Source organism: Homo sapiens, chromosome 12 (genome assembly GCF_000001405.40).
Source record: "Homo sapiens chromosome 12, GRCh38.p14 Primary Assembly".
NCBI lineage: Eukaryota > Metazoa > Chordata > Mammalia > Primates > Hominidae > Homo > Homo sapiens.
In genome coordinates, this window is record NC_000012.12 from 74,896,240 (window position 1) to 74,909,600 (window position 13,361).

The following is a 13,361-nucleotide window of genomic DNA, read 5'->3' on the forward strand; positions in this document are numbered from 1 at the left end:
AAACATATCTAAACATAGAAAAGATGCAATAAAATACAATATAAAAGATTTTTATAAATGGAACACCTTTTTAGAGCACTGACCATGAATGGAGCTTACAGGACTGGAGGCTGCTGTGGGTGAGTCAGTGAGCAGTGGTGAGTGAATGTGAAGGACTGGGAAATTCCTGAACACTATTGTAGACTTTATACGCACTCTACACTTAAGCTACACTGAAGTTATTTAAACAATACTCTCTTCAATAATAGCTTAAGCTTAGCCCACTATACCTTTTTACTTTATAAACTTATTTTTTTTTTAATTTTTGGACTCAACAGCTTAAAACACAAACACATTGTACAGCTATACAAAAGTATATTTGTATATACTTATAGAATATATGTATATATACAATAAATTCTATAAAGTTTTTTCTATTCTTTTTAAGCTTTTAAGCTGTTTTATGGAAAACAAAGACACAAACACACATATTAGCTTAGACACACACAGGGTCAGAATCATCCATATCATTGTCTTTCACCTCCATTTCTTGTCTGACTGGAAGGTGTTCAGGGGCAATAACATGCTCAGAGCTAAATCTCCTGTGATAACAATGCCTCCTTCTGAAATATCTCCTGAAGGACCTGCATGAGGCTGTTTTACAGTTAACTCTTTTTGTTTTATGAGTAGAGGCAGTACACTCTAAGATAATGATGAAAAGTATAGTGTAGTAAATATGTAAACCAGTAGCATAATCACTGATTATTATTGTCAAAAATGGGGTACTGTACATATAATTTTATATGCTATACTTTCATGTGACTAGCAGTGCAGTAGCTTTGTTTACACCAGCATTTAGCGCAAACACCTGAGTAATGCATTGTGCTTGATTAGGCGACAGAAATTCTTCAGGTCCATTATAATCTTATGGGACCAACTCTGTACATGCAGTTCATCAATACTGAAATGTCATTTTTCAGGGCATGTCTATACACACACAACACACACACAAATATATTTATGTATAAATACATTATTTTATGTTTGAACTTAGCAACTAACCAGAGGAAAAAAAGTGCTAGACACAGAAACAGATATATAATAGATACTGACTATGCTTTTTTATTATTTTAATTTTTATCTATTTATTTATTTATTTAGAGATCAGGTTACGAGACTGGCTAATTTTTGTATTTTTGGTAGAGATGGGGTTTTACCATGTTGACCAAGCTGGTCTCGAATTCCTAGGCTCAAGTAATCCACCTGCCTCAGCCTCTTAGAGTGCAGGTGTGAACCACTGCCTGGCTTATGACTTGTTTTCATTTTTGTTTGTTTGTTTAGTGACATCATAAATAATAAAAGCCAGAAGCTTTGCAGCACATAACCATACCACAATTCAGGACTTGTGTTTTGGCATGTTGAAACAAGAAATTGTAGTGCATCAGAAGAGACATGGGCTGAAAACCTGCCTCTGACATTCAATGGGTGTGATCAGAGAAGAGCAATTGGTTCATTTAGTTTCAGTTTCATCAAATTTTAACATGTATTTTTATTAAATATCCTTTCATTTGTAAGTAACAGAATTGAAATTCAGAATAACCTTATAAAATGGATAATTATTAGCTTCGGTATGATTGGTTCTAGAGGTGAAAACATTGTTTTTAAGGCTCTTTCTCTTTAGGTCCTGTGTCTTTCTGCAGAAACTTCAAGTTTACTTGCTTCTCTGTGTCTTCGTGTTGTCATCATTATGTAAATATATGCCTTCATGTGGCCAGGGGGAGGTTTTGCAGGCATCTCTAGATTTACAAGGTCTCTATGGTTCATGATTCTAGAGAAAGATAAATCTTCTCTCTCCTGGAACCTATGTGTCAAATTCTTGGTAAAGTTCTCACTTAAGCTGTAGGAGTCGCAGAGCCATTTCTGAAATGCTCTCCATGCCAACAGCGTACAGTACTCTAAATTGTAAGTTTGCATGGCCTACAAGTACCCCTATGGCTGGAACACAGGCATGCTATGATTTCAGTTCCAAAGAGGCAGTGGGCTAAAAGTGAAGTTGTTTCCCAAAGGAAAGAAAGAATAGGCAGAACTGGCCGGGCGCGGTGGCTCACACTTGTAATCCCAGCACTTTGGGAGGCCAAGGTGGGAGGATTGCCTGAGGTCAGGAGTTCAAGAACGGTGTGACCAACATGGTGAAACTCCATCTCTACTAAAAATACAAAAAAAATTAGCTGGGCATGGTGGCATGCACCTGTAATCCCAGCTACTCCAGAGGCTGAGGCAGGGGAATTGCTTGAACCCGGGAGGTGGAGGTTGCAACGAGCCGAGATCAGGCCACTGCATTCCAGCCTGGGTGACACAGAGAGACTCCATCTCAAAAAAAAAAAAAAAAAAAAAAAAAGCAGAACTTTCAGAATTACAAGTGGGAATTATTTGTAATTATACACAAAACCATATGAAATCCAATATGAAAGTGGAAATAGATATTTTCACACATAGAGGCCTCTTAACATTTATTTCCTATGTCCTGTCTTTCAGGAAACTATGGTGGATGTATTCTAGACAGAAGAAGGATTAAACCAAGATAAAAACAATGTGAATGAGGAAAGTGGGAGTAACAGGGATTCCAAGAGAAAGGTAAAGAGAATCCCCAAGATGTTGGCAAAAGATGGTCCCTTGGTAAATTGTATACAATTGTGTTAGAAAGATTGGATAAAAAGACAGGAGGTTATGAAGCAAATTGAGAGAATACACAATGTATTTAATGAAATTGAGAAGAATTTTAAACATTGTCAGAAAGCTTTGGGACTAAATTAATAAACAATATATAGAAAATTAAGCAAAAGAAAATTGAGACAATTAATACACAGAGGAAAAACAACCATTGTTCATGATGAGGCAGAATAATTTTGAATACTTCTCTATGAATTACTCTTTATATTTCTTTAGTTTGTATGCAGGTTGGATTTATGAAAAGTTTCGCAAGGGGATTGTGAGGGTGATTAAGTAAGAAATTGAAAGAATAAATCAAAGCACTAAAGCACTAAAAAATGTAGATGACTCAGAGAAAAAAAAAAAACCTTTATCTCTATTTGAGCATCTAATTAAAGAATTGTTCACTATATGGATAAAGTCTTTCCCCAACCTCAATGCTGTGGTTAAAAAAGTCTTCCATAATACTTACTGGGTCAGCCCTGTGTTAACCTGAGAATTAACCAGAAAGCAATAGCCACTCTCAAAGTTAGCATAAATGTGAGTCAGCATCACCTGGAGAAATGGCAAAAGGCAGGACCAAGGCCACAGAGAAATGAGGAGGGAAGGCCAGCATCAGTGGAATCAGAGGTGAATGTCACTGGCTGTGGTGAGAAGGTTTTAGTAACTCAAGGACTCTAACAAGAGAAAGGAGTGAACTGGAGCAAGGCTAGTGCGGTGACAGCGATAAGGAAGTGTCAGAGTAGCCTCTGAGACAAAGGCTGCTTTAGAGTACTTTCATTATAACCTATATGCCCTAGCTCTTTTTTTTTTTCTAGTTGGGTCACACTGGGAAATGTGAATAACAAAATTATTATAGAGAAATATGAGGCACGGTAGGCAAGTAATTTGTATAAAGTGCATTCTGCCTGTGTATCAGCAGTCTTCTATCTGGGGACATAAAAATGTAACTGTACTTTGTTTATGGATTCGACTTATAAGAGATATCACTTTCATGTTAGCTAAACTTACGTCTATATATCTCTATATATTCAATTTCATACTTGTTCAATATTGTCCATGGAACAAAATAATTTTAAAAATTATCATGGCCTAAGGCCTCCTTGGTGTATTTATAGTACATCAGTGGAAACATTGATGAGAGAGATGTTAGACAGCATTCATAAGCACTATTATCAGGATAAAAAGGAGAGATCTTTAAACTGATGTTGCAAATTGCATTTATAAATGCTGAGGGATAGTGAGAAATTTGCCATTGAAAATAATTTTAAAAAACAGTAGAAAAATGAAATATTTTTTAAAAATATATAATATGCAATTATGCTTCTAAAAAGTTAGATGTATGTTTGTCTGTTTGTGTCTCTGTGTGTTTAATGTTGTCAGTCTTGGGAACTCATTATCTTCCATTCATGCGGTTTCCTGCAACTGATGCTGTATATTCACTGAAAAAGCTGACATTACTGCACAGTCGGCTTGAAATTTTCTATGCACCACAGTGCAAAGCCTTAAAGTTAAGTTCCGTTTCCACAGCAACCATAGTTTAGCTCCTCAAGCATAGTTAGACCTTTTTTGTGGTCTTAACCTACATGTACACGGTAAGGATTGCTGATCTTTGATGCACTATTTGTGTTTTATTGGTTATATAAGCCTATGTCTGTGGGTTTTTTCCTGCATTTGAAAACTTACTGACAATTTTGCATAGGAGTAGCTGTTGAAGTATAAATTGGGGGAAAATCATAATTGTGAGCAACTGGGTATTCAGATACATTCCCTATAAAACTGATGACTAGTTCACTCAAAAAATAAATACTTGATAATTCATCTATGAAAACAACACGTTTGACCCAATTTTTGAGGGCCCTCTTCTTCACTCACACACAAGTGCATACATACACCCTGGAGTAATTATGTTTCTTCCCTGAGCCACAAATGCTCTCTTTCCAATTAATAATCTTAGTTATCACTGTATGATGGCTGTCTTACAAATCTACTAAACTAAATGGTTCATGTGCACAGCGGATCACAGCCTTTTAATCACTCTTCTTCTAAGTCACTGAGTCTCTTGGCTTCCTATAAATTAAGTCACCCTAAGTCTATCACACAGGGCTACTTCATTCACACTCTGGAGAAAAAACATACCCAATTTTTGTATTTATAAGTGATCCCCACTTCCCCGTTGTTAAAGAAACAGGAACAACTGAGGTGAACCCTTGACAGCGCTTTATTATACACATGGAAACATTCACACAGGAGCAGTCAAGAAAGTGATTCCCAAAAAATTTTAGGGGAAGACTGTTCATAAAACTAAGGAAAAGTAACATTAGTTATTTACCAAAATATCACATTGGTTGCTTCTAAAAGAATGATACCTTGTTTTGATCTTTTCTGATCAGATTTTTAAAAAATCTTTTGCAAATTTATTAAATCATAACATGAACCAAAATCTACCAAGCAAATGGAAAACAGTTCTTGATCAGATCTTAAAGACACAGCTTAAACTCAGATTCCGTTCACAACACTTCATGTTGAGAAGTTTTTGTGTCATACTTGAGAATTATTAGTTACAATCCAATTGTAAGATTTCTTCTCAGTGATTTTTTTTACTCCCATGATCATGACTTTTATTTACCATTGGGAATTTATGTTTTACGCACACACACACACACACACACACCATATTGTCTTTTTCTCCAAGTTGTCCAAAGTCATGGTCAAAGCACATGTGAAAAGAAGGCAGACGTTTCTATTTCAGATGTGCAAATAATCCTGTTCATTGTTTAAATACTTCACCTATTTTTTGAACAAAATGACTGGACAAGATCATTTTACTGTGAGGATTGGTAATCCTACAAAATTTTGATTCATAAACACATCTACTCTCAGTAATTCTTAGTAATTAACCTATTTATAGACATTGAGGAGCTTCACATTACTCAGCTGTATTCAAAATCTTTCACATTCTTCTCTAGCTTTCTAACCTCTTCTCCTTTAGCATAATTTTTTTTCTATTATGTATGAGAAATGGATATCATCCTAAACAGTGTCTACCACCAGCTGCTTTCCTCATCCAACCTGCAAACTTTTGTATACCCATAATTATTTTCCTCTCATCTCTAAAGAAATAAATCTATTCCTTTATGAAGTACGTTACCCTTACTGTAGATACTATGTTCACCAGCATTCTATTGACCTTTTCTCCAGCCATTAACATATTTTGTTTTATGTTGACAATGTTTTCTCCACTGCTAGTTCTTCCTTTCTGCTTACATGTCAAGTGTTTTCTATCTTAAAAATTAAAATATAAAAAATAAATTTTTAAAACATCTGCCTTTGAATTTATCTCTACCTATTATTTCTTCTTTCTTTCACTTCTAGGATGACCAAAGAATAACTTAAACTCATTATCTTTCTTACATAACTTTCTCTTATTTGTCAGTTCACAATGTTTGGATTCTTACTATTACCTCATCATTTCACTAGAATTGCACTAATTAAGTCTTACAATAATGTGCTGATTGCTAAAGCAAAAGTTATTTTTCTAGTATCTTCTTATCTGACTGTCACTTTCAGTACTGATTACTATGCTTTCTTAAATATCTCATCCCTTGGATTCCATAGTATCATCTTCTCTTCCTCATCTGATTCTCCCCCTAGCTCCTTTGCAATCTTATTTGCAATTCTTTTCTGGTTGCTTTACTCTGCCCTACTCTCTCATCAGCCATTTTTTCTTTCACTATGTATTCTACCCCTTGGAGATCTTGTACACTGCAATGTCTTCAATTGTCTAAATTTGAACCAAATGCCTTCTCTTCTCCTTCATCAAGCTGTATGTTCTACTTTTATCTTTATTTTGTTCGGTGACAACAAGGACAACCAAAAGGCCAAAACAGAATACTGAGAGTTGCAGTCCATCCAGTTCTACTCATCACTTCCTTCACCCATTGTCTAAAGTTCTGTAAGTTGTTTGCTTCTAATTATAATTTAAATGCACCCTCTCATCTGCATCCCTGCACTTATTATTTTGCTTCAGCCTTACACAGATCACCTGGAATATTGAAATTGCCTTTTACTTGGCCTCCCGATCTCCAGTCTCCTTCTTTATCAGTATATTCTACATACTTTTCCCAAAGTGATTTTCTTACCAGTACAAATATGAATATGTCAGAGAGTACCTAAAATCCTTCAATGACTTCCATAATTTTTTGAATTACATGGAGATTTCTCATGGGCTATGTACAGTTCACCATCATTTATTTTCTTGATCTTTAGCCTTTCTAAATTAGTCACAATCTCTAATGGGAGTTCATATGTTATTCAATATTTGTATTCCCAGTGCCAAATATTTTCCCTTAGAAACAAAAAAAAATGAACAAATATTGCTGAAAGAATGCAAGTGTGAATGAAAGATACACACATAAAAAATACAGTCCAAATGCTCTAAGAGAAAGGAGTAAATATGAGAATTTATCAATTGGATTTTAGTAATATCCCTATAAGCTATTATTTTTGTAAAATCTCCACTCTATTTTTTCTGTATTTTTATCAGCTAACATAGTCATTTCAGTTTAGTTCTACAGGATACAAATATTTTTAGGTAGGTGGCTTCTTGGGGAATGAGATCAGCACCTATAAGAGAGGGAAAGATACAGGAGAAGATGAAGGCAGAAGTTGAACTACAATGTTATAAACAGGCTTCATACAATCCTACAGGGGGCGCTAAAGCTGGGATGGCCCTTGAGAGTTGTTCTGAATTGGAGCAACAGGACTTGGGCTTTTGTAACCCTGAATAGACCAATCATTGTGAATGGGCTGCCTAGTCTGCCCACCTTGACAGTGCAAGGCTTGGACTGAGGAAACTTCCCTTGTCAATGGAAATCTGTGAATCATCACCACATTACACTCCTGACAGTTGGATGAATAAGCTATGCCACTTACCATAGCAAGAACTGTCCAGGTTTTTGGTGGATGCTTCACTCTCTCTTTCCCACTATAAATGCTGTCTTTGCAACTGTCCAAACCCCACATGAAACAACAAACTACTTAGACTCCTTTGGCCTCTTCATATATTTCTGAGACACATTCCCCATGCCCAACCACCACCTCCTGAGAGGATCAAACTCATAATGTTATTAATCAATTAAATCACAATTGGGGAGACACATATGCTACCAAAAAAGTGTGGAATATATTCCAAATTGAGGACTTAATTAATTTTTAGATAATTTGCTCTCTTAGAAGATAATCTGGTCATAGACTTCCCTTCTTTAGAAAAATTAAATAGATGACTTTATACTGCTTTAAAATAGTGTCTATATATAGTGAGATATATCTATATATACATATATATATCTTGGAGGTCATATAGATATATCTCTATATATCCATATATATCCACAGAGATATATCTTTATATACAGATACTTAGCGATATATCTATATATAGAGATATATGTGTATATATGTATATGTATGTATATATATACATGTGTATACATAGATATACACATGTATATATATGATTTTATGTATATAAGTATAATTATTTATATTTATGTATACACAGCATATAATGCTAACCTGGTATCTTGAAAAATAGTGGATATGAGATATAATACAAATAGTGGAATCAGATCTAACTGCTTTTTGTTGTTGCCCTTTTTAAACACATAATATCATGTGGAAATATTCACTTGTTCTAAGAACTGCTTGAATACAGCAGTGTTTCTAAATAATCCTCACCCCTATGGCCATCAGTTAACTCACTTATTCCAGAACACACAGCTGGCAGACTTTCTTAAAAAACACAAATGTAATTTATTTAAATACTTTTCTTGACTTCTAATTGCCTGTATATTAAAACACACACTGGTACCCCGTCACATAGAAAGTCATTTTAGCTGCCCTTTTAATTTTAGGTTCTCTTGGTCCTCATGCCACAGTTTTTCAGGACTTTTTTCATGACTGAAGCAACAATGACCTTGTGATAATCTAGATTTTACACATGTTCTTTCCTCTTCCTGGAGCTAAAAACCTCACCTCCATCTTCAAGGAGCATTTTAAAGCTCTCTTTTTTTTTTGTAAGGCCTCCTCCAGCATCCTCAGACATAATGAGTCTCTTCTGTGTTTTCACTACTTTGTCCATCAGCAATGTTAGAATATTCAATGTTGTAATTCCATAATCTGCTTAAATGGTGCTCTTTCTTCCTGTTAATCTCTGTAATATCAACCATATTTTTGACCATTAGTATCAAATATAAGTTTACTAAATGAATGAAAGAATATGTGAATGACTTGGTTGATTGAGGAGGCAAATATGGTGAACATATATAAGATATTTTTATAGGAAAATGTGTCAAATGTACTTTCTCTGTTTTGCTGTTGCTTATGTTCTTTTCTTCCCATCACTTAAAAAGCTAGAGAAACTATTGCTTTCACCAACATTTTCTCAAATGCCTGAAAAATCACCAAATATATGAGTCATATTTTTCAGGCAATACTCTAGGAGCAAATCAATATAGTATAATATTAAGGGATTTTCTAAGATTATATATTTTCTGTTATATTCTTATAATTTACTTATTCATCTCTGTAAATACTATACACTTATTCTTATGGGTAATTTTGTTTGATCATTAAATAGCTATTTGGATATCTGTAACTTTTAGCATATACTTTAATTATAATGATAATAATAACAATAAAATATTTACAGTGTTAAATATAACTTTTTAAAAGGTTCCTGTGGCAACCATGAATTGATTTTTTTAAACAAATATTTTATGGTCCTTATAAACCTCACACCTATTTTCCAGTACTATCTAACACAAATTTTCCAATACTACAATAACTTTCATAGAACATTATCAGAATTAATCACATCTTTATCTCTGTTCATACTAATCATAAGAAGTTCAAGACCGAGGTTTATCCTTTAGTACTTAGATTCTCAATGCCATAAGACAATCTAACTCCATCTCCAAACACTTTCCAACTTCTGAAACCTTTTCAACAAATCGCTAGAACTCAGACTATATGGCAAGCTTGATTCTCAATGCCATAAGAAAATCTAACTCCATCTCCTAACCCTTTCCAACTTCTGAAACCTTTTCAACAAATCTCTAGAACTCAGACTACGTGATAAGCAAAATACTTGATATCATTTACTTCTTCAGTCAACATTCCCTCATCTTGTTAATCTACCTGTAATATGACTTTCTCAGAGGATGGTGTTCACGCCAGTATCAGTTAGTTTGGTCTGGAAAACAGAAATTACTCTAGAATTCAAAGTAAAAAGGCGTTAACAAAGGAAATTAAAGACTTGCCTGTCTGCTAGAAGAGTAGAGTTTATGATGGTCAGGGAATATTCTGCTACAATTTATGAAATCAATAAATGCCTACACCACCGCTTAGTCACCACCAATCATCTCAGCAGCCTACAACACCATAGAAGGTGATCTCCAGGAGCACTCCCAGAAGCTGCTGAAAACCATTTTCTGTCCATTCATATGTCTGCCTGTAGGTGTCCCAGAGAACAACAGCTTCTCCGTTTCCACCATTCGCATCTTAGAGGCCAAGTACATCGATCGTCTCAAAACCTTTTCCATATAGATAATAGCATGGCCATTCTTCCAGTTGCTTAGAACAAAAATTTTAGAATCTTCTATGACTTTTTTCTTCTCATATTGCATGCCTGATCAGAAAGCTCTCGTGCCTCTTCCTTAAGAAATGTTTTCAATCTGACCAGTTTTCTAGCTCTATCACTATGACTCTGAACAATGTCACAATCATCTTTATCCAGGATAGAAGTAAAGGTCTCCTAGCTGATCATTTGCTTCCATCTTTGACCCCAGATCATCTACTGGATAGTATTTAAAAAACTGTTGTAATTCTCCATAAGGGAAATATATTATATAATATTCTGTAATGTACCTGAAGATGGATATTCATATTTTAATATTCTGGACCAAATTTTGACATCATTGATCTACAAATATTACATTGAACATCTTCAAGACACCTTGATCTAAAAAAATTGTCATTTTTCTTGTTATTTTGTATTTAAGTGGGAGAAAGATGTATGTTTACATAGAATAAGAATCAACTGAATTTGGAAAGATTATAGATATAAGAGAGACAAGATAATTGGATAAATATATTCTAGAGGAATTTGAAAGACTAAGAATCAAGAAAAACTAAAGGATTTACTATTTCAAGGGGGGAAACATGTATTCTGAGACAAAAGGGAGAAAAATTAGACATTGAGAGTGTGGTCAGACTTTATTATACTCTAATTGTGAGCTGTGTGTTAGCATAAATTATTCAAATACTGTGTCTCAAAATTCTTGTTATTTATCATTTTTAAACAAACACTAATCCATCATTTGTCATGTATTGTCATGCTGCTATACACTGAAGATATCATGGAGAAAATGTAGCAAGGGTACATTAATTCATCTTATGATCTTATTGTACTGGGTCCAAAAGAATTACCATGCAAATATGTTGAGAACTATGATGAGAGAAGCACAGGGTGTTGTGTTATGGAGGCAATAAGGGAGGTGTATAGAACAGGTGGTAGAGGTCAGGACAGCACTCTTGAAAGACTTGCAAGAAGCAAATAGACTTAACAAACAGAGTTTGACTTGGAAAGGATATATTGGTGTGAAGGTAAATAATAGTGTTCAGGCAAATCTAACAGTATATTCAAAGGCCTAGAAGAAAGAGTTGTCGGTGACTTAAAAAATATGTTGGGACGGGATCATACAGTATGTCAGAGAATTAAGTGGAAAAAGATCATGTTGGAGTAGTAGGTAGGCACTAGGTGAAAAGACTATAAATCAGTGTTTCTCAAAATTTATGTGCACAGCAATCATCTGGGATCTCGTTAAAACCTAGATTCCTATTCAGTAGATCTTGAATGGAGCACTAATATCTAACAAGCTTTGCAAGTAATGCCAGTGCTGCTGGTCCACTTGTAATTCTTTAAGCAGGAAAGATTTAAATCATATTCCAGTCTTATATCTATTCTTATGGGGACTCAGGAATAAGCTTAAATAGAAAGGTAATTTGATCAAATTTATGTTTTCACAAGATCCTTCTCATTCTTTGCGAATATTAGATTAGAAAGTGAAAGTTCTGGAGATAAGAAGACATATAAAAATGTAATAATAATGTTCAAAATTGTAGGGTAAACTTGGAAAATTAAACTGGGGACAATGAGATACATTTAGGAACTAGAATCAAGAGGAAATGATGATAAATTAAATGCATGTTGAGAGAGGAAGGGAGGCATCAGGTATGATGCCCAAGTTTATGGTTAGTAAACGTATGCATAGTGGTGATAATGATGATGTTGGTAATGAAACAGCTAAAACTTATTCAATATCTACTATATACAAGGAACTACATTATTTAATTCATAAAAACATGAAAATGTATTATTATATCCCCACTTTATTGGTGAGAAATCTGAAGCATGAGTTAAAAAATTCAGAATTAGTGAAGTACAAAACAAATTTTCAGAAAAAAATGATTATTATTATCATTTATATTATTGATATTATTATTCAAGTGTGTCTGGAGTTGGAAAATAAAATTATTGAAGGAATCCTTTCATGACAATAATTATTTTTTCTTTGTGTTGTGAGAGGCAATGTCACACCCTGACAGGGAGTTAGGATTAGGTAAGAAATGCTTGAAAGTGGAGAAAATTGGATATCTATTATCAAGAGAGGGAAAAAACCTGATTATAAATAAACAAAGGCACTGAAAAGTAGCACCAAGAGCCCACCAGGCCAGTCTTTGTGAATTTTTAAAAAATTAATTAGATTTCTTCTACAGATGTCAGTAGACCTATGGTAGAAACAGAGAAAATGAGGGGATGCTTTTATCCGAGGTTGAGACAGCTCCTGGTGAGACCTCAGAGGTTGAGACAGCTCCTGGTGAGACCTCAGAGAGATTTTTGATCATGGAAGAAGGTGAAAGGGGAGCAGGCATGTCAGATGACAAAAGTAGAAGCAAAAGAGAGAGAGTGAGGTGGGAGGTGCCATACACTTTTAAATGACCATATCTCATAAGAACTCACTATCATGAAGACAGCACCAAGCCATAGGGTATCCACTCCTGTGATCAAAACATTTCCCACCAGGTCCTACCTCCAGCATTGAAGATTAAAATTTAACATGAGATTTAGGTGGGACCGAATATCCAAACTATGTCAGCCAGCAAACAAAATTAATCAGCTAGAGTTCTTTGACCTCCAACACTCTCTGGCCTGGAGCTTATTCCTTTCTTTCTTTTAAAACTCAAAGAGATTAATAAAGACTAAAGATTATGATCCTTCTGTAATATACATTATCAGACAGAGTAACCAATACTCAGCCTTTATCACCCTGAAATATGGAACATGGACTTACAAGCATGAGACATACGTGGGTTTATATACTGAGACATTAAAACATTTTGAAACTCTAAATGTATACTTTTCAAAGCAGATGAAGTAATAATTTAAAATAGGTGTGATAAATATGCTTAAAGACATAAGAAAACATATTAACAATTGGAAATAAGAAAAAATTAATTAGTAAAAGTTAGAAAAAATATTAAAAATAAATATTAAGAAGAAAGGTTATAGAATGATAAAATAGTGTCTCAGATTGTGTTCTCCAGGAAGA

General features: G+C 34.4%; 1 long non-coding RNA gene across 5 annotated transcripts in view; it reads left to right on the forward strand.

The window, feature by feature from the left end:
- LOC105369842 (uncharacterized) overlaps positions 1 to 13,361 on the forward strand; it is an 86,958-nt gene that overhangs the window by 48,816 nt on the left and 24,781 nt on the right. For all 5 annotated transcript variants that reach the window (XR_001749205.2, XR_001749206.2, XR_001749204.2 and 2 more), the window contains exon 3: positions 2,515 to 2,613. This is a non-coding gene — a long non-coding RNA (uncharacterized LOC105369842). The remainder of the gene's footprint in view (positions 1 to 2,514; positions 2,614 to 13,361) is intronic.